The 21,746-nt window shown below is 43.4% G+C and overlaps 1 protein-coding gene and 1 pseudogene across 12 annotated transcripts in view, besides 3 other annotated features; both read left to right on the top strand.

Annotated features, from left to right (window-relative positions):
• Positions 1-21,746, top strand: part of SMG6 (SMG6 nonsense mediated mRNA decay factor) — a 243,947-nt gene that overhangs the window by 155,546 nt on the left and 66,655 nt on the right. The gene's annotated exons all lie outside the window — the stretch shown is intronic.
• Positions 9,022-9,221: an enhancer, noted in NCBI's record as "active region_11478". NCBI's record gives its function as "activates an Ori minimal core promoter by ATAC-STARR-seq in GM12878 lymphoblastoid cells {active_cell/tissue: GM12878}" and the evidence as "EXISTENCE:reporter gene assay evidence [ECO:0000049][PMID:35858748]".
• Positions 9,642-9,841: a silencer, noted in NCBI's record as "silent region_7986". NCBI's record gives its function as "represses an Ori minimal core promoter by ATAC-STARR-seq in GM12878 lymphoblastoid cells {active_cell/tissue: GM12878}" and the evidence as "EXISTENCE:reporter gene assay evidence [ECO:0000049][PMID:35858748]".
• Positions 10,767-10,816: an enhancer, noted in NCBI's record as "active region_11477". NCBI's record gives its function as "activates an Ori minimal core promoter by ATAC-STARR-seq in GM12878 lymphoblastoid cells {active_cell/tissue: GM12878}" and the evidence as "EXISTENCE:reporter gene assay evidence [ECO:0000049][PMID:35858748]".
• On the top strand, positions 19,965-20,835 carry MCUR1P1 (MCUR1 pseudogene 1; annotated as a pseudogene).

The following is a 21,746-nucleotide window of genomic DNA, read 5'->3' as shown; positions in this document are numbered from 1 at the left end:
TATGGTTGCTCTATGTTTAATTATTTTATTTTATTTTATTTTATTTTTTGAGATGGGGTCTCACTCTGTCGCCCAGGCTGGAGTGCAGTGGCACACTCTCAGCTCACTGCAACCTGCACCTCCTGGGCTCAAACGATCGTCCCACCTCAGCCTCCCCAGTAGCTGGGACCACAGGTGCGCACCACCACACCCAGCTAAGTTTTTGTGTTTTTGGTAGAGATGGGGTTTCACCATGTTGCCCAGGCTGGTGTCGAACTCCTGAGCTCAAGCGATCCACCCACCTCGGCCCAAAGCACTGGGATTTAAGGCGTGAGGCACCGTGCCCGGTCATCTGTGTTTAATTTTTTGAAGAATCGTCATACATTTTCCACAGCGGCTGTACTATTTTACATCCTCACCAATAGTGCACAGGAGTTCCAGTTTCTTCACATTCTCACAATACTTTTGTTTTTTAGTAACAGCCATCCTAGTCGGTGTATTGGTGTGAAGCAGTATTGCACTGTGGTTTTGATTTTGCATTTTCCTAATGACAAGTGATGTCGAACATCTTTTTGTGTGCTTATTTGTTGTGTTCATTTTAAATGTATAATTTCTCCTTTCTCAGTTGATTGGCCTTGGAATGCTTGAGCATTAAGGTGTCAGATGTTGGCTCTGATCATTTTTTTTTAAGAAGTAAGGTCTCATTATGTTGCCCAGGCGGGACTTGAACTCCTGAGCTCAAGTGATTCTCCTGCCTCAGCCTTCCCAGTAGCTGAGACTACTCGTGTGCACCACTACGCCCACCTAGGCTCTGATCCTAACTTGCTATAAGCTACTTGTGTGGCCTATAACCTATAGCTGTTTTTTTGAGATGTAGTCTTGCTCTGTCACCCAGGCTGGAGTGCAGTGGTGCAATCCTGGCTCACTGCAACCTCTGCCTCCCAGGTTCAAGTGATTCTCCTGCCTCAGCCTCCCAAGTAGCTGGGATTACAGTCACCCACCACCACGCTCAGCTAATTTTTGTATTTTTAGTAGAGACAGGGTTTCACCATGTTGGCCAGGCTGGTCTCAAACTCCTGACCTCAAATGATCCACCCACCTCGGCCTCCCAAAGTTCTGGGATTACAGGTGTGAGCCACCATTCTGGCCCCTATAACCTATAGCTTTCTAAACCAAACGAACAAAAACTCTATCTCATATATACCTTCTTTTGGATTTTCTTTCTTTTTGAAGCAAAAGTGAAATATCCCTGTAACCTCTCTGGGCTTCTGTATCTTCTTCAATAAAATAAGGAAACCCCTAACTGCCCTACCCAGCTCAAAGAGCTGTTGTGAGAATTAAAGGAGATCAGCTCTATGAAAGCACTTTGTAAAGATTTTATAAAAATACAATTTAGGCCATGCGTGGTGGCTCACACGTGTAATCCCAGCTTTTTGGGAGGCTGAGGTGAGTGGCTCACTTCAGGCCAGGAATTGAAGACTAGCCTGGTCAACATGGTGAAACCCAATTTCTACTAAAAATACAAAACTTAGCCGGGCGTGGCAGCATGCGCCTGTAGTCCTAGCTACCTGGGAGGCTGAAGTGGGCAGATCACTTGAGCTTAAGAGTTCGAGAATCACTTGAACATGGGAGGTGGAGGTTGCAGTGAGCTGAGATCACGCCACCGCACTGTAGCCTGAGTGGCAGAGTCTTAGTCTCAAAAAAAGAAAAGACATTATCATCTTGAGCCATCAAATTCACTGTTACTGAAATTCTTTGCTAAACCTGAAGGCAAAACAAATTTAGTCTTTTTGTCTTAGACCAAAGGCTGTATGTTTCTTTGGTAGGTAAGGGGAACAGAGCACAGGTGACCTACTTACTCATATCTGTTCATCTCCCAGTATGGGGTTGCCTCCTCTGAACTAGGGCAAGGGTCAAGTCTCTGACTTGGTTTTTCCCTGAAAATGGTCACAAAGTCTGCTCAGCATTGTTTAGGGATGTGGATGCATTGGCCCCATCACCTGCCCATCTAAAGTAAGCATGTTATGTAATCTAACAAATATTTACCACTTAGCATGTGCCAGACACCAGAGTTCATGCTTCCACATGCTTCACTAGGTTTTACTTAAGCATATTTTTGCATTACTATTGTTTTTTGAGAATTATAACCTCCCACATATATTATTTTAGTTCATTTAATCATATCTTCTAGGCCCTTTTTCTCCTGTTGTTTCTTTGTTTCAACAAAGAGAAATATTTAGGAAAGGAGTCCCTTAAGATTTTACTTATTTTAAATATTTTTAGTTATTCAGATGCTAATCTGAATAACTGAAAGACATGGAATATATATTGAGATTTAGATAGAGCATCATTCATCTACTCAGGAACAGTTGCAGACAGGTAGAATCTACATTGACCCAAACTTCAGGGTGGATTGTGCTTTCCAGAAACTATTCCAGTTACCAACAGTCACCTAATTGAGTTCAGAATGGATGAATAAGAATGGATTTTCCTCTCTGTGGCTTCTTGTTTTTTGTTTTTTCTTTTTTGTTTTTATTTCTGGAGGTACATCAGCATCCTCTCTGTGGCTTCTGATGCAAAGGTAAGCTATATGCTTTTTTTTTTTTTTTTTTTTTTTGGGGAGATGGAGCCTTGCTCTGTCACCAAGGCTGGAGTGCAGTGGCGCGATCTCGGCCATTTCGGCCTCCCAAAGTTTTGGGATTACAGGTGTGAGCCACTGCGCCCACCCTACATGAGGTTTTTAGAACTCAAGGAGCTTAATAGGGTCTTCCATTTTTAGTTGTATGGTAGGATTAGATACACTGAACAACCTTCTCAATTAACACAGCTAAAGTGCTCCCTGTAGGCTGGGCACAGTGGCTCACGCCTGTAATCCCAGCACTTTGGGAGGCTGAGGCAGGTGGATTGCCTGAGCTCAGGAGTTGAAGACCAGCCTGGGGGAAACCCTGTCTTTACTAAGAGGACAAAAAAAAAAAAAAAATTAGCTGGGTGTGGTGGCACACGCCTGTAGTCCCAGCTACTCAGAAGGCTGAAGCATGAGAATCGCTTGAACCCAGGAGGTAGATGTTGCAGTGAACCGATTTCACCCCACTGATCAGCCTGGGCAACAGAGCGACAGAGAGAGACTGTCTCCAAAAAAATAAAAATATAAATAAATAACATAAAATGCTAACTATAATATAACGCATCCTGAGCTGGCATGAAAACGAGAAATCTGCAGATCTTAAGAACTAAATGAACAAAAGATTTCTGAAAAGTAAGCGAGTGCCAAAGCTGGCTGGTGCTTGCCCTGATGATTTCTGTCAAGCCCTGGAAGCTTTGGGCTTACTCACTAAAAACTGCTTGGACTATGGTGAGCGGGCCTGAAAGCGTGGGGTGCGCCCTAGGTGAGGAATGATGTAGGAGGCCCTGCCTAAAGCTGGGATTCCAGCTTTAGGAAACCTCATGGTGAGCATTTTACGACCATGAGCTAACCCTCACCTGAGTTTTGAGTCTGAATTCATACTACCTATGTACTCTGAAAAACCTTGAGCAGCAGATGGTTTAATTTAAAGTGATCTCTGTGTCTGACAGTGTCCCAGGGTAACCCGCAGAAGCAAAGACAAGTCCTCTCTGGAAAAAAGCAGCTTCTACTCAGGCCACAAAGAATTCCCGTGGATACAGTTCCATGGAAATCAGCCCACAGCCTTTAATATACTTAAAGTAAATAATTATCATTCCCAAAAAAGCTACCTTGTAAAGGATAAACAAAGGTGACCAGGCATGGTGGGTCATGCCTGTAAACCCACTACTTAGGGAAGTCAAGGCAGGAGGATCACTTGAGCTCTGGAGTTCCAGACCCGCCCGGGAAACATGATGAGAAACCCATCTCTACAAAAAGATTTAAAAATTAATGGCCAGGCGCCATGGCTCACGCCTGTAACCGCAGCATGTTGGGAGGCCGAGGCGGGCAGATCACCTGAAGTCAGGAGTTTGAGACCAGCCTGGTCTCGAGGTCAACAAGGCGAAACCCCGTCTCTACTGAAAATATAAAAATTAGCTGGGCGTGATGGCAGGCACCTGTAATCCCAGCTACTCTGGAGCCTGAGGCAGGAGAATCACTTGAACCCGGGAGGCGGACATTGCAGTGAGCCGAGATCGCACCATTGCACTCCAGCCTGGGCAACAAGAGTGAAACTGCATCTCAAAAAAAAAAAAAAAAAAAAAAAAAAGCGGCCGTGGTGGCATGCACTTATAGTCCCAGTACTTGGGAGGCTAAGTGGGGAGGATCCCTTAAGTCCAGGAGTTTCAGCCTTCAGTGAGCCATGATCCTGCCACTTGCAGCCAAAACTGATCAAATTGTACACTTTAAATATGTGCAGTTTTAGTACACTTCAGTTATACCCCAGTACAGTTGTGGAGAAAAAAATCTAAAAGAATACTTTTAACCCCTTTAGCTTAAAAAGATACAATTTATTATTTCCTAACTACAAAATAAGAGTGAAGATGTTTTAATACCCTTTTTAAATTTTAATCAATTTATTGAGATATGATTCACATTCCATGAAGTTCAACCTTTTAAAGTACACAATTCCGTTGTTTCATTATATTCATAGAGCAATACAACAATCACCACTAATTTCAGAACATTTTCATTACCTCATAAAGAAACCCTCTACCTATCGCGTCATCTCCATTTTCCCTTCTTCCTAGCCCCTGTCAACCACTAGTTTACTTTCAGTCTCTCTAGATTTGCCTCTTCTGCTTCTTTCATATGAATGGGATCATATAATTATGGCCTTTTGTATCTGGTGTCTTCTGGTTTGCTTAATGTTTTAAGGTTCATCCATGTCACAGCTCATATCAGTACTTCATTCCTTTTTATGCCTGAATCATATTCCATTATATGGTAATTCCACATTTGTTTATCCATTCATCAGTTTCATAAACATTTAGGTTGTTTGCATTTTTTGGCTATTATGAATAATGTTGATATGAACATTTGTGTATGAGTTTTTATGTGGACATATGTTTTCATTTCTCTTAGATATATATACCTAGAAGTAGTATTGTTTGGTCATATGGTAAACTGTGTTTAACTCTTGGAGGAACTTCCACACTAGACAGTTTTCCAAAGCAGCTGCAACATTTTACATTCTCACTAGCAGCAAATGTATGAGGGTTCAATTTCCCCACATCTTCACTAACACTTATTATTTTTTTTATTATAGCCATCCTAGTGTGTGTGAAGTGGTATCTCAGTTGTGATTTTCACTTGCATTTCTCAATAACTAATGATGTTGAACAGCTTTTCATGTGTTCAGTGGCTGTTGGTATTTCTTTGGAATACTGTTCAAATATTTGCCTACTTTTTTTTTTTTTTTTTTTTTTTTGAGACAGTGTTTTGCTCTTGTTGCCCAGGCTGGAGTGCAATGGCGCAATCTTGGCTCACCGCAACCTCCGCCTCCCAGGTTCAACCAATTCTCCCGCCTCAGCCTCCCGAGTAGCTGGGGTTACAGGCATGCGCCACCACGCCTGGCTAATTTTTTTTTTTATTTTTAGTAGAGACGGGGTTTCTCCATGTTGGTCAGGCTGGTCTCGAACTCCTGGCCTCAGGTGATCCGCCCACCTCAGCCTCCCAAAGTGCTGGGATTACAGGCGTGAGCCACTGTGCCCGGCCATATTTGCCTACTTTTAAAATTGGGTTGTCTTTTATTGTTGAGTTGTAGGAGTTCATAGATAGATAGATAGATAGAAAGATTACATTGAGTTGTAGGAGTTCATAGATAGATAGACAGACAGACAGAGAGGGTCTCACTGTGTTGCCCAGGCTGGTTTTGAACTCCTGGGCTCCAGCGATCCTCCTGCCTTGGCCTCCCAAAGTGCTGGGATTACAGGCATGAGTCACCACACCCAGCCTTGAGTTGCAGGAGTTCTTTATAGATTCTGGATACAAGTCCTTTATCAGATAAATGATTTACAAATATTTTCTCCCTATGATTTGATTGTCCTTGCACTTTCTTGAATGTTTTAATTTTTACGAAGTCCAATTAATCTGGTTTATTTTATTTTGTTACTTGTGCTTTGGTGTTATAAAGACATTTTTAAACAATAAGGACTGGGAGAAGCTGGTGTGCGCCTGTATTCCCAGCCACTTGGGAGGCTAAGACAGGAGGATCACTGGAGCCCAGGCATTGGAGTCCAGCCATAGTGAGATCCTGTCCTCCCGCCAAAAACAAAAACAAAACAGAGTTTATCACCAAATATCCTCACTAAACGAAGTTTCTTCTACCTGAAGTACACACTTCAGAAAAGTATCCTAGATTCCAAAGAAATGGTAAACAGTGATTGTAACTATAAAATTGGATCAGATTGATTACAAAGGAACCATGGAGTTAAAAGCTTCCTTAGAAGACATCAGGGCCAGTCTCTTATCTAATGAAAAAATAGTCCTCCAGTTTTCTCAATGGCCTCTGCTCCAGATGCTTCCCCAGAATTTACTCTATTATGAGACAGTCACTATAAAAAGTTCCTCCTCAGGCTGAGTGAGGTGGCTTGTGCCTGTCATCTCAGCACTTTGGGAGGCCAAGGTAGGAGGAGCACTTGAGCCCAGGAGTTCAAGACCAGCCATGCAACATAGCAAGACCCTGCCTCTGCAAAAAAATTTTTTAAAAATTAGCGGGTATGGTGTGCACACCTGTGGTCCTAGCCATTCAAGTGGCTGAGGCAGGAGGATCACTTGAGCCCAGGATTTCAAGGTTACAGTGAGCTGTGATTGTGCCACTGCACTCCAGCCTGGGTGACAGAGCAAGACCGCATCTCTAAGAAAAAAAAGTTCCTTCTCAAACTGAACACAGCCTGCCTTCCTGTAATTCCCACTTAATGATTTTTTAAAAGTTTTCTCAAAATCACAAAGTCTGTTTTTTCTATATCTGACACACCTTAGTTATACTTGAAATTCTCTTTACGTTTTCTTTTCTCTAAGCTAAACAAACCAGTGCAATCAAATAGATTCTTGGCCAGTGCTGCGAAATATTATAGGACTTTATGTAATGATGCAGTGTTTAGTACTGTAATGATGGAAAGTTACTATTTCCACACCATCCTCTATGGTAGCCACTGGCCACATGTGACTTTTGAATACTTGAAATGTGGCTAGTGCAACCGAAAAACAAATCTTAATGTAGTTAAATTGAAATATCCACATGTGGCTAGTGGCTACTGTATTAAACACTGCAATTCTAGATCATTCTCCTGGCCAGATTTCTCTGTGCCATTACCAGCAGCATCAGATTCACCTGGGAACTTGTAATGTTTTAGGCCCTACCTCAGCCTTTTGAATCATAAACAGTTGAGGGTGGAGCCCAGCAGGCTCATTTAACAAGCTCTCCAGGTGATTCCAATGCACTAATACTTGAAAGGCAATTCCAGTTTGTCAAGGCTTCTGTAAAAAGCAGTGCTCAGACAAGGTCTGACATGCATGGATTTCACCTAAAGACAGCTTCAATGGCTTTTTTTTTTAATTGAATACTACTTTCTAAATATTGCATTGACTGCATGTTATAAAAATGAATACAATGTGGATATGAAGAATTTTTTTTTTTTTTTTTGAGATGGAATCTCACTCTGTCACCCAGGCTGGAGTGCAGTGGTGCAATCTCGGCTCACTGCAACCTCCGCCTCCCAGGTTCAAGCGATTCTCCTGCCTCAGCCTCCCAAGTAGCTGGGACAACAGGTGCGTGCTACCACACCCGGCTGATTTTTTTGCATTTTTAGTAGAGACAGGATTTCACCATGCTAGCCAGGATGGTCTTGATCTCCTGACCTCAGGATCCACCCACCTTGGCCTCCCAAAGTATTGGGATTACAGGTGTGAGCCATCGTACCCGGCCTGGATATGAAGAATTTAAAAAAATAAAGTGTCAGGCCAGGTGCAGTGGCTTACGCCTGTAACCCCAGCACTTTGGGAGGCTGAGGCATGCAGATCACTTGATATCAGGAGACCAGCTTAGGCAGCATGGCAAAACCCCATCTCTACTAAAAGTACAAAAACTAGTTGGGCATGGTTGCACATGCCTGTGGTCCCAGCTACTTGGGAGTTTGAGGTGGGAGGATCACTGGAGCCTGGGAGGCGGAGGTTGCAGTGAGCCGAGGTCTCACTACTGCACTCCAGCATGGGTGACAGAGTGAGACCCTGTCTCAAAAATAAAGTGCCCCTTAACAGTTTAAAAAAAATTAGTTAACAGGCAGTTTCCCAGCTGGGCGTGGTGGCTCACGCCTGTAATCCCAGCACTTTGGGAGGCTGAGGTGGGAGGATCACATGAGCTCAGGAATTCGAGAGCAGCCTGGGCAACATGGTGAAATCCCATCTCTACTAAAAATACAAAAATTAGCCGGGTATGGTGGCATGCGCCTGTAATCCCAGCTACTTGGGAGGCTGAGGCAGGAGAATCGCTCAAACTCAGGAGGTAGAGGTGACAGTGAGCCAAGATCACACCACTGCACTCCAGCCTGGGTGACAGAGCGAAACTCCATCTCAAAAAAAAAATTTGTTTGTTAAATGTCTTGGCACAGTGGCTCACACCTGTAGTCCCAGCACTTTGGGAACCAAGGCAGACAGATCACTTGCGGTCAGGAGTTCAAGACCAGCCTGGCCAACATGGCGAAACCCCGTCTCTACTAAAAATACAAAATTAGCCAGGCATGGTGGCGCACGCCTGTGATCCCAGCTCCTTGGGAAGTTGAGGCTGGAGAATCGCTTGATGCCGGGAGGCCAAGGGTGCAGTGAGCTGAGATCGCGCCACTGCACTCCAGCCTGGGTGACAGAGTGAGACTCCATCTCAAAAAAAAAAAAAAGAAAAAAGCAGGCACTTTTCCATAAGTTTCACACGGTCTTATAGTACTAGAACCCTGAGCTCTTGATTGTCAGTCTGGCGTGCTTTCCATCTCTTAGGCTGTTTGGTGAAATAGGCCTCACTGTTTGGTTTGGTGTCTCCCAGAAGAGAAAAATCTGGTTCCTTGGCATTTATTTTACCTACCCCATTTGGGGGCTGTTTCTTCTGCCTTTTCTTGCACAACTTCCCCATTGTTAGATGCCTCTGTAGTCACTCCCAATACCCTGGAAACATCTCCCTTTTTTAGGGTTTAACAGACTTCACCTGTATAGTTACTGTCTTTTAATATGACTTTCGTCCTCTTATGCTTGAAACCTAGAAGAGGAGCTGGCTTGTTCTGCTGGCCTTGAGCCAGATGTCATAACTTCAGGCAGTGCCACGCTACACATCTCCAGCAGTTTGGAATGGAGAACAGAGTTAGAGATAAGATCAGCAGCTTTAGGTGATGGCTTTGTTTCAAATAAACCATGCATGACCCAAGCCTCCACTTCAAATGGGGAATGAAATTGCTTTATCCTTTGACAGCTTGCTCTATGAAATACATTTATCTTCACTTAATTGCTTTAGATCCCAAGAGGCTACATACAGTAATTTCTAGGAGATAATTATATCAAATTTTAAAAATATGTGACTGTGGACATGAATATGTAACTGCAGTGGACAGGGAGGGAGAGAGGTGGGGGAAACCAAAAGTCCTGCTGACCTTGCTGGTAAGTTTCCATTCTTATTCTTAGAGTTTCCTTGGGTCATAGACCACTTACTCTCTGAATCTGCTGATTCATATGTGGGGTCCTTTGTACCCCATGCTGCTAGGGTTAAAGCATCTGGTCTACTACTCCTGTAGCTGGATAGTGTTTTGCTCAGTCTCCTCCTGAAACTGGGAGGGGTCAGGCTGGTGGCTGACTTCCGGTTATATGTCTTCATTTAGTCTGGCTGGGCACAGTCTGTCTACACTGTAGGCCACAGCCACTGGGGGTTCTGGTTAGTGGCAGCTGAGAACCAGCAAACTTGTTGATTTTAAAACATGACTATTTAGATGTCAGGGATAAACTTCCTGTAGATGGGGGACAGGCTTCTTTATCTTGGAGTGTTTGAGTATCCAGTTCTCATTTCCCTAACCTTTACATTTGAAAAAATCTAAAGCTTTCACTGTCATTTTCACTAATCCCAGCCACTGCCTACCTTTACCGTATATTTTTTTTCTTCTTTCTGAAATTCCAGGGTGTTTTTTTTTTCCTGCCTCCTACTAAATAACTGTATTTCCATGTTGTGATATAACAACACCAAAGGCATTTTCCAGGTGTGGACACAGTTCTGGGCCATCGCTCAGCTCTTTCTGTCTGCATCTGCCTTTAAGACTACACACTGGACAATTCGATTGTGAGCTCCGTGATACTACTCTCCAACCGCCATCCCCAAGTGTCTAGTGTGGTGCTCATGTCTTATGAGGGCTGTGTGAGGAAGAGCCAGTGAGGCCTAGCTGAATGACATGGTTGACAGGCACTCCTGCTGTAAAGACAAGGAAGATCTGACTTGGAGATACAGAGGACATTTGGATTCTGTACTAAGGTCCATGAATATCTAAGCCAGCTTGCGGGTGGGGGATGTGCCAAAACCAATCAAGGTGGGCTGACTGAATCAGAGAATCTATAGAGCCAAAGACTTTCAATTCCCATCAAGTTCTCTCAAGACCTAGTCCCATGGCGCTTTCTGCTTGCTGGGGTCATTCTCCAGGTGTCTTTTATCCCTTCATTCTCACTTAATCAGGGTCAGCCACACTCCTCAGTTCACTGAGAGGGAAGTGTTGCCTTTTCTTTTAAACTCCTCCCCGAGAACCCTGACAGCTGTGATGAGTAAGCCCATTTGCATGTGAAAGGTCCTGCTGGCGTGCCTGTAAGCGAATCTGCAGCGAGTACTGTCACACCATTTCTTGGAGTCACATCAAGGAGTTTTTTAAGGAATGACACTTTGGCTCACATCGAAAACATGAGCACCTGAATAGCAGCCTGTGGGGGTCATCAAGGTTAGGGTGTTTGTTCTAGTGTGTTTCTTTTGAGCTGGAAAAACATTTCTCCGTATATCACCACTTTTGGTACTCCCTTCTGGAGAGTTGCTTTTCTCCTGTCTACCTATTAGTGTGGTAGTAGTAACCTGTACCAAGAAGCGTTCCGTGGTTAGTAACCTGCATTCAAACCATTTCTTTTAGCTGGATCCTTTTTTTGAGTCAGGGTCTCACTCTGTCACCCAGGCTGGAGTGCAGCGGCGGGATCTGCGCTCACTGCAACCTCCACCTCCTGGGTTCAAGTAGCGATCCTCCTACCTCAGCCTCCAAGGTAGCTGGGACTACAGGCGTGTGCCACCATGCCCAGCTAATTTTTTTATTTTATTTTTTTGTAAAGAAGAGGTCTCACCATGTTGCCCAGCCTGTTCTTGAACTCCTGGCTCAAGCAATTCTCCTGCCTCGGCCTCCCAAAGTGCTGAAATTACAAGCGTGAGCCATCATGCCTGACCTTAATTTGATCTTTCAGGAGCAGAACATGCCTGTTTTTTCTTGTGTTTTATTTAATAAAAAGAACATACTAAACTTATGTAAGGACTTACCAAGAAGGATAATTGAAATTCTGGTGTCTTTAGACAAAAAAGCTAAAAAAAAAAAAAGGAAAAAAAGGTGAGGCCTTTTCAGGGATTGAATCGTCTTTGGTGCATTTTTTGGTGAATTCCATGAATCCAGCTATTTTGGTGTATTCAGTAAAGTTTTCCCTGAGTTTGACTTAGGACTCTGTGTGCGTATGCGTGTGTGTGTTGAACATATGTGTCTATTCCTCTGGAAAGATCATTAAATCCAAATTCTGAATAGGGAAATGGAGACTTTCCAAGGAGTGTCAGGAGCAGGCGAAAAGGAAACATTTTGCCACAGATATTTAGAATCAATGAGATAGATGAGATAGAAATGAAGAAATGCCATGATTTACTTCTATTTCTTAGAGCTCACTGTGTGGTTGACTGATAACAGTCACTAGCCACATTTGTCTACTTAAATTAATTGGCCAGGCGCAGTGACTCATGCCTGTAATCCCAGCACTTTGGGAGGCTGAGGTCAGGAGTTCGAGACCAGCCTAGCCAACATGGTGAAACCCCGTCTATGCTAAAAATACAAAAATTAGCCAGGCATGGTGTGCATGCCTGTAATCCCAGCTACTCAGGAAACTGAGACGTGAAAATCGCTTGAACCCCAGGGCAGAGGTTTCAGTGAGCCAAGATCACACCACTGCACTCCAGCCTGGGCGACAGAGCGAGACTCTGTCTCAAAAAATATGTATATATTTATATCTGTATATATACACACACAGACACACACACACACACACACACACACACACACACACACACATAAATATATATATAGGCTAGGTGTGGTATCTCATGCCTGTAATCCCAGCACTTTGAGAGGCCAGTGTGGGAGGATTGAGTCCAAGCGTTCAAGACCAGCCTGGACAACATAGTGAGATTCCATCTCTACACAAAATTTAAGTTAGCTGGGCATGGTGGTAGCGCCTGTAGTCCCAGCTACTCAAGGGGCTAAGGTGGGAAGATTGCTTGAGCCTGAGAGGTTAAGGCTATAGTGAGCTGTGATTGCACCACTGCACTCCAGCCTGGGTGACAGAGTGAGAACACTGTTTCAATCAATCAGTCAAAACTTAGTTAATTAAAATTAAGTAAAATTGAAAAATCAATTCTTCAGTCACACTAGTCACATTTCTAGTGGTCAGTAACCACATGAGACTAATGGGTACTGTATTGTCAAGCATAATATAGAACATTTCCATTATTGCCATAAGGTTCTCTTAGACAGCTTTGCTTTGTGATAAAGTCACTAAGTATAACTCAGTTTTTAAGATTGGGGTTGGTGGGGGTGGACGGGGAAAGAGGAGACGTTGGGCAAAGGATACAGAGTTTTTATTAGACAAGAGGAGTAGGTTCTTGTGATCTGTTGTACAGCATGGTGACTAGAGTGAATAATGTATATTTCAAAATAGCTTAAAGAATAGATTTTTAATGTTCTCACCACAAATAAATAAGTATATGAGATGACGAATGTGTTACATAGTCCAATTTGATTGTTCCACATGTATACATTTATCAAAACATCACATTGTGCTTCATAAATATATACAATTACTATTTGTCAATTTAAAATAAAACTATTAGGCTGGGTGCAGTGGCTCATGCCTGTAATCCCAGCACTTTGGGAGGCCGAGGCAGGTGGATCACCTGAGGTCAGGAATTTGAGACCAGCCTCGCCAACATGGCAAAACTCCATTTCTACTAAAAATACAAAAATTAGCCAGGCATGGTGGCTCACGCCTGTAATCCCAGCTAGTCGGGAGCCTGAGGTAGGAGAATCACTTGAACCCAGGAGGCAGAAGTTGCAATGAGCCGAGTTCGTGCCACGGAACTCCAGCCTGGGTGACAGAGTGAGACTCTGTCTCAAAAAAAAAAATAAATTAAAATAAAACTTTTTAAAAAAGGTCTGGGATGATGACAGGGAGGATATTGAGAGGGAGATACTAGGATTTGAATAGCTAAAGCCATTTAATTAGGAATGAATCAGCATCAGAAGCCATGGACTTCAAAGAGTGGAAAATTACAAGATTCCTACTGAGATAATTTAGTAGTGTATTTAGCAGGATTCAGAATATTATCTCCAACATGATCAATTTTCATGACCTTCTATAAGGAATTTGTCTACTCTTATAAACAGCCTCCTTTCATAGACTTCTTAAAAAGTGATTTTGTCTTTATGCCTTCATTGTTAACACTTGCTTTTCCAATCTCAGTGTTTCATTTTCATAGATAAAACTTACATCAGCATTTTCCGTAGTGCTATCATGATGTATTATTTCATTTGATTTCCACTACAGTTCTAGGAGGCATTATCTTTTTTTTTTTTTTTTTTTTTTTTTTTTTGAGATGGAGTCTCGCTCTTATCGCCCAGGCTCCCAGGTTGTAGGCACGATCTCGGCTCACTGCAACCTTCGCCTCTTGGGTTCAAGCAATTCGCCTGCCTCGGCCTCCCAAATTGCTGGGATTACAGGCGTGCACCACCATGCCCAGCTAGTTTTTGTATTTTTAGTAGAGATGGGGTTTCACCGTATTGGACAGGCTGGTCTCGAACTCCTGACCTTGTGATCCACCCACATCGGCCTCCCAAAGTGGGCATTATCACATTTTACAGCTGAGAAGATTAAGACTTAGACTGATTTATCTGAGATCATATGACAATACTAGGTCAGAACCCAGAACTATCATTTTGTATTAGATTTAGGTGAATAAGAGGCCTAAACATACAGTTTTATCCTCTTACATCAAGAGTCTAGACATAGGCAGTCCAGGGCTAGTGTTCGGGCTCTACCACTTGGCTTCCCCAAGTTGGCAGACACTGGAACCTCCAGCTCAGTATACAACATCCTACAATGTGGTCCCATCCCAAGATGGTTAGTAGAGCATCAGCAGGCAGCTTAATGGAGGAAGAAAACAGAAAGGGTATGCCCCATATATTTAAAGAGACTTCTTCAAGGTTTTACGTAAAAGTTCTATTTACATCTCAAGAGTCACATGGCTATCCTACCTGCAGAAAAAGCTGAAAATATGGTCACCTGGCTGGCAGAAATGTATCCAGCTATTAGCCACATGTGTTAGCACGTACCTGTAATCCTAGCTACTCTAGAGGCTGAAGCAGGAGGATCACTGGAGCCCAGGAGTTCTAGGCTGCAGTAAGCCATGATCATGCCACCGTATCCCATCCCTGGGTGACATATTGAGACCCTGTGTCTAAAACACACACATGCACTCATACTCTTAGCTAAAAATCAAAGTTATTTTGCTAAAGAAGGGAAGACTGGATTGGGAGGTAACTAGCAAACTCTGCTCCAGGAGGTGTTTTGATATTTAGTCTAGCGCTTTCCCACTGTTTCATATTGTCTCTGACTTGTTATGAAGGCTGCCATTTTTTCCAAAGAATTAAACATAAGTTCTCTCTCTCCCAGATGAATAATTACAGTAAAAGCTACAGTTTACTGAGGACTTGCTTTGTCTTAGATATTATTCTAAGAATTTTACGTTTTTAAACTTTTTTTTCCCCCCCAGATGGAGTCTCGTTCTGTCACCCACACTGGAGTGCAGTGACGCCATCTCGCTCACTGCAGCCTCTGTCTCCCGGGTTCACGTGATTCTCCTGCCTCAGCCTCCCGAGTATCTGGGACTACAGGCATGCGCCACCACGTCCAGCTAATTTTTGTATTTTTAGTAGAGACAGGGTTTCACCATGTTGACCAGGCTGGTCTCAAACTCCTGGCCTCAAGTAATCCACCCACCTTGGCCTCCCAAAGTGCTGGGATTACAACATGGTGAATCCCCGTCTCTACAAAATATACAAAAATTAGCCAGACATGGTAGCACGTGCCTGTAGTCCCAGCTTCCTGGGGAGTGAGGCAGGGACATTGCTTGAGCCTGGGAGGTCGAGGCTGCAGTGAGCTATGTTCCCACCACCCTGAGTGACAAAATGAGACCCTGTCTCAACAACAACAAAAGGCAGTATATTTAATGTGCCTTCTTGTTTTTCTCTTCACTGTCCCCTTTCTTCTTCTGTCACTCTCTCAGACCTGAGGCTAGGAAAAGAGATTGACATGCTTTAGGTTTTTAGAAAGTTTAGTTCCTGTACCTCATGTAGGAACTTGCATGAGAAAATTGTGCTGGGGAATTAATGAGATGTCTGCAGAGAATCCAGAGGCTCAAAGTTTCTATATCTTGTTAATAGAAATTTGATTTCCAAATACAATTTTGTATTTTCTCTTCACTCCCACTCCCTCTGGTACTCTTATGAGTTGTAGCAGGTAAGAGCACCATCCACTGATCGTCCCACACCGCTTCCCCATAGACAACTCAGTGAGAACCGGCACTTGAATTGACAGTCCACATGTAGACTGGGCTTCTCTGCCAGGGTGACGCATCTGCTGTTAAGTTGCTCTGAGGCTTGACTTCTCGCGTTCATTCAACATTAGATATTTATTGAACACTTACTATTTACCAGACATTCACAGTGCTAGGGATTTTGTGGTGAATGAGACAGGCATAGTCTCTTACCTCATAGATTTTACATTCCAGTTATGGGGATACAGAGCAAAGAAGTAAAGAAATAAATAAGCAAAATAAATTCACTGGGCGTGGTGGCTCATGCCTGTAATCCCGACACTTTGAGAGCCCAAGGCAGGAGGATTGCTCGAGTTCAAAAGTTCCTTTTTTTTTTCTTTTTTTGGAGACAGAGTCTTGCTCTGTCACCCAATGCTGGAGTGCAGTGGTGCCATCTTGGCTCACTACAACCTCCGCCTCCTGTGTTGAAGGGATTCGCCTGCCTCAGTCTCCCGGGTAGCTGGGATTACAGGTGCCCACCACCACACCTGGCTAATTTTTGTATTTTTAGTAGAAACGGGGTTTTACTGTGTTGGCCAGGCTGGTCTTGAACTCGTGTCCTCAAGTGGTCCGCCTGCCTTGGCCTCCTAAAGTGCTAGAATTACACTAGAATTACAGGCGTGTGCCACCGTGCCCAGCTGGTTGGTTTTTATTGATTTGCAAGTCTGAATATGAATCTTTGTCAGCTATGTGCATTGTGGATCACCCAGTTTATAGTTTAATTTTAAATTAATTTACAGCATTTTCTTTGCATAAAAATTTGTGTGACAAATCAGCCATTTCCTTTCCAGTTTATGTCTTATTTAAGAAATCCTTTCTGGCTGGGCATGGGGGCTCATGCCTGGAATCCCCCAGCATTTTGGGAGACCGAGGTGAGCAGATCACAAGGTTAGGAGTTCAAGACCACCCTGGCCTATATAGTGAAACCCAGTCTCTACTAAAAATACAAAAAAAGTTAGCTGGGCATGGTGGCCAGGCACCTGTAGTCCTAGCTACTCAGGAGGCTGAGGCAGGAGAATCGCTTGAACCCGGGAGGCGGAGGTTGCAGTGAGCCTAGATTGCACCACTGCACTCTAGCCTGGGTGACAGAGCAAGACTCCGTCTCAAAAAAAAAAAAAATCATTTCTGAGTGTGCAATATTGGCCATATATTGCTAAATGTTGAAGCTAGGTGATGATAGCAGGTTTATTTATTACACTAGTCTCTAGTCTCTCCTTTTATATATGTTTGAGATTTTCCATAATAAAATTTTAATTAAAACAAGACCACTGGCATTCATTTAATAGCAAATATGCTTAAAGTTTTATTGTATATAAAAATCAATTGTTTTAATAATAAGCCAGAGCTTATAATTTGGTGGGGTAAAAGGGTTACTTTTATCTCTGTGCAGGAGTTTGTCATTTGATCTTTTTTTAAAGACGGAGTCTTGCTCTTGTCGTCCAGGCTGGAGTGCAGTGGCGTGATCTCGGCTCACTGCAACCTCTTCCTCCTGGGTTCAAGCAATTCTCTGCCTCAGCCTCCTGAGTAGCTGGGATTACAGGCACCTGCCACCACGCCCAGCTAATTTTTGTATTTTTAGTAGAGACGGGTTTCACCATGTTGGCCAGGCTGGTGTCAAACTCCTGACCTTGTGATCCACCCGCCTGGCCTATTTGATGTTTTTTTTTTTTTAAACCACTTGATTGTTAGGTTAAAATATTACCAAGAGTAATTGCAATTTTACATGAAAAAAAAGGAAACCTTACATACCCTGAGGTCATAAAGAATATATACCAACATATTTTTCTTCTAAAAGTTTTAGTTTTACTTTAAATTTTTCTTCTGAATATTTGGTTTTCATTTTGGTTTTACATTTATGTCTTTGTTCCATTTGGAATTTATTTTGTAAAGCAGGTTTCCCTGTTTCCTAGTCCTCTGTTCTGTTCCATTGAGCCAGTGAGCAATTGCCATATTTACAATATTTAGTCTTCCCATCCATGAACATGATATACTGTTAATTTATTCAGGTCTTCTTTTATGCCCTTCAAGGATGTTTTGTAATATTTCCCATAAAACCCTCGCACAGATTTTGTTACTAATTTAAGTATCATATTTTCTAGTTAACTATTAATGGTATGAATATAAATGCTGTTTCTTTTTTTTTTTTTTTTTTGAGACGGAGTCTCGCTCTGTCGCCCAGGCCGGACTGCGGACTGCAGTGGCGCAATCTCGGCTCACTGCAAGCTCCGCTTCCCGGGTTCACGCCATTCTCCTGCCTCAGCCTCCCGAGTAGCTGGGACTACAGGCGCCCGCCACCACGCCCAGCTAATTTTTTGTATTTTTTAGTAGAGACGGGATTTCACCATGTTAGCCAGGATGGTCTTGATCTCCTGACCTCGTGATCCACTCGCCTCAGCCTCCCAAAGTGCTGGGATTACAGATGTGAGCCACCTCGCCCCCAGCCTAAATGCTGTTTCTTTATCTTCATCTTACATCTATCAACTTTACTGAACTGTCTTGTTCTATAATGGTAACCATAATAATAGAAATTCTATGTTTCTAACTTTAATAGCAATGCTTCTAAAGTTACATTATTAAATCTATTTGTCATGGATTTCTTTTTTTTTTTTTTTTTTTTTTTTTTTTGAGACAGAGCCTTGCTCTGTCACCCAGGCTGGAGTGCAGTGGCATGATCTCAGCTCATTGCAACCTCCACCTCCTGGGTTCAAGCGATTCTCCTGTCTCAGCCTGCCGAGTAGCTGTGGTTACAGGAGCGCACCACCACGCCAGGCTGATTTTTTTATTTTAAGTAGAAACAGGATTTCACCATGTTGGCCAGGCTGGTCTCGAACTCCTGACCTCAAGTGGTCTGCCTGTCTCAGCCTCGCGAAGTGCTGGGATTACAGGTGTGACCAACCATGCCTGGCCCATAGATTTGTGATAAGTGTATCTTGTCATGTTAAGACCATTCGCTTCTATTCCTAGATTGCTGAGTATTTTCTTTAAATCACAAATAAGGGCTGAATTTTATTAAATATTTTTTCTTAATCTGTTGATGATAGTGTAGTTTTTCTTTTTAACCTGTTTATATGGGGTTACACATTAATAATTTTTTTAAAATAGGTTCTTATTCCCATTGCCCAGGCTGGAGTACAGTGGTGCGATTATGGCTCACTGCAGCCTCGACCTCCCTGGGCTTGCCCCTCCCACCTCACCCTCCTGAGTAACTGAGACTATGGGCATGTGCCACCATATCTGGCTACTTTTTTGTATTTTTAATAAAGATGGGGTTTCGCCATCCTGGGCTCAAGCGATCCGCCTGCCTTGGCTTCCCAAAATGCTGGGATTACAGGTGTGAGCCACCCCACCCAGCCCAGTAATAAAATTCTAATTTAAAACTATCATTTTCTTCCTAAAATAGTCCAGTGTACTCTCCCAAACTTCAAAATGAGCATATTCTTGACTCATAGTTGTTTCATGGGAGATAACATATTTCTTTCATTTTCTTAAAGGTTTTTACTCTGCTGCTTGCATGCCATTTTCTTTCTTTCTTTCTTTTTCTGTCTTTTTGTCTTCCTCTTTCTTTCTTTCTTTCTCTCTCTCTCTTTTTTTTTTTTTTTTTGAGTCTTGCTCTGTCACCCAGGCTAGAGTGCCGTGGCGCGATCTTGGCTCAGTGCAACCTCCACCTCCTGGGTTCAAGTGATTCTCCTGTCTCAGTCTCCCAAGTAGCTGGGCCTACAGGTGCACGCCACCACGCCCAGCTAATTTTTGTATTTTTAGTAGAGACGGGGTTTCACCACGTTGGTCAAGCTAGTCTCGAACTCCTGACCTCAAGTTTGCAATAGTGGGTATACAATGCTTGGAGAGGCTGTTAGAATAACAAATTGGCAGGATAGTGGCATACAGAATACAGCATAAGGCAGTTGGATTGGCGTATAGGTTAATACCGTTGACATCAGAATCCGGTGGTTTTTAATCTAACTCTAGAGCCATCCTGTCCAGTACCACTTTCTGCAGTGGGGAAAGTGTTCTACTTGACACCGTCTAGTATGGTAACTACTGGCCGCATGTAGCTGTTGAACACATGAAATGCGGCTGGTCTACCTGAAGAAATGATTTTTTTTAATTGTGGTAAAATATACACAACATAAAATTTACCATTTCGTGCCCTCCCTGCACTTGACCGCCGCTGCTCCGTGCCGGCAGCCTGGGGACTGGGAGCACTCGTGCCTTGGGTATGCCGCCCCACTGGCTGGACAAAGCGGCGCGTGGATGTGCCTGTGGGGCCTTGCCCTGGGCATCGCTGCTGCTGCCAGCGCCCTTCACCCATGCTTCAGCATGGTGCCTATACTCACTTCCTGCAGGAGTCTGCTGGATACCTGCAGCTGGAGCACAGGAGAGATTTCAGCTCTTCTGGGAGTAGGAAGCTCTCCTTTGACACTCGTTCCTTAGTGTGCTTTCTGGAAGACCATGGGTTTGCTACTCAGCAAGCAGAAATCATTGTGTCTGCATTGGTCCAGGTACTGGAGGCCAACGTGGACATCGTCTACAAAGATATGGCCACCAAGATGAAGCAGGAGATCGCTCTTCAGCAAATAATGTCTCAGACTGTGAATGTGAAAAACGATATGATTACTTTGGAGAAGAGTGAATTTTCAGCCCTCAGAGCAGAACGTGAGAAAATAAAACTCAAACTACATCAGTTAAAACAAGTAATGGATGAAGTGATTAAAGTCCGAACAGATACTAAATTAGACTTCAACCTAGAAAAGAGCAGAGTAAAAGAATTGTATTCGTTGAATGAAAGGAAGCTGCTGGAATTGAGAACAGAAATAGTGACATTGCATGCCCAGCAAGATTGGGCCGTCACCCAGAGAGATAGGAAGATAGAAACTGAGGATGCTGGCCCCAAAACCATGCTTGAGTCATACAAGCTTGATAATATTAAATATTTAGCAGGGTCTATATTTACGTGCCTAACAGTAGCTCTGGGATTTTATCACCTGTGGATCTAATAAAGTGTCTATTTAAAGAGGGGGGGAAAAGGATTTACCATTTCAACCATTTCTTAAGTGTACAACTCAGTGGCATTAAGTACATTCACAGTGTTGTGCGACCATCACTACTATCCATTTCCAGAACTCTTCATCATTCCAAACGCCGTAACCATTACACAGTAACTCCTCATTCCCCCTTCCCCTGGCAACTTCTACTTTCTAGCTCTATGCATTTCCCTATTGTAAGTATCTCATATAAGTAGAATCATGCAATATTTGTCTTTTTTTTTTTTTTTTTTTTTTTGAGACAAGGTCTCTCTGTGTTGCCCAGGCTGGAGTGCAGTGTCACCATTACGGCTCACTGCAGCCTCGAACTCCCAAGCCCAAGGGATCCTCCCACCTCAGCTTCCTAAGTAGCTGGGACCACAAGCACGTACCACCACACCCAGCTAATTATATGCACGCGTGTGTTCACGCGTATATGTGTGTGTGTGCATGTGTGCGCATGTGTGCATGTATGTTTGTGTCTGTGTGCATGTGTGTGCGTGTGTGTGTAGAAATAGGGTCTCCCCATGTTGTCAAAGCTTCTCTTGAACTCCTCAGCCTCGAGTGATCGTCCCACCATAGCCTCCCAAAGTGCTGAGATTACTGGTGTGAGTTTCCACCTTTGATGCACAAAAGTGTTTAATTTTGATAAAGTCCAGTTTGCTTTTTTTTTTTTTTTTTTGAAACTGAGCCTCACTCTGTTGCCCAGGCCAGAGTGCAGTGGCTTGATCTTGGCTCACTGCAACCTCCACCTCCCGGGTTCAAGTGATTCTTGTGCCCCGCCTTTCAAATAGCTGAGATTACAGGGGCCCACCTGGCTAGTTTTTGTATTTTTAGTAGAGATGGGGTTTCACCATGTTGGCCAGTCTGGTCTCAACTCCTGACCTCAAGTGATCTGCCTGCC

The sequence above is a fragment of the Homo sapiens genome, chromosome 17 (assembly GCF_000001405.40).
Source record: "Homo sapiens chromosome 17, GRCh38.p14 Primary Assembly".
Taxonomy (NCBI): domain Eukaryota; kingdom Metazoa; phylum Chordata; class Mammalia; order Primates; family Hominidae; genus Homo; species Homo sapiens.
Note: the sequence above shows the minus strand (reverse complement) of the source record. Positions and strands in the feature narration are given on the sequence as shown.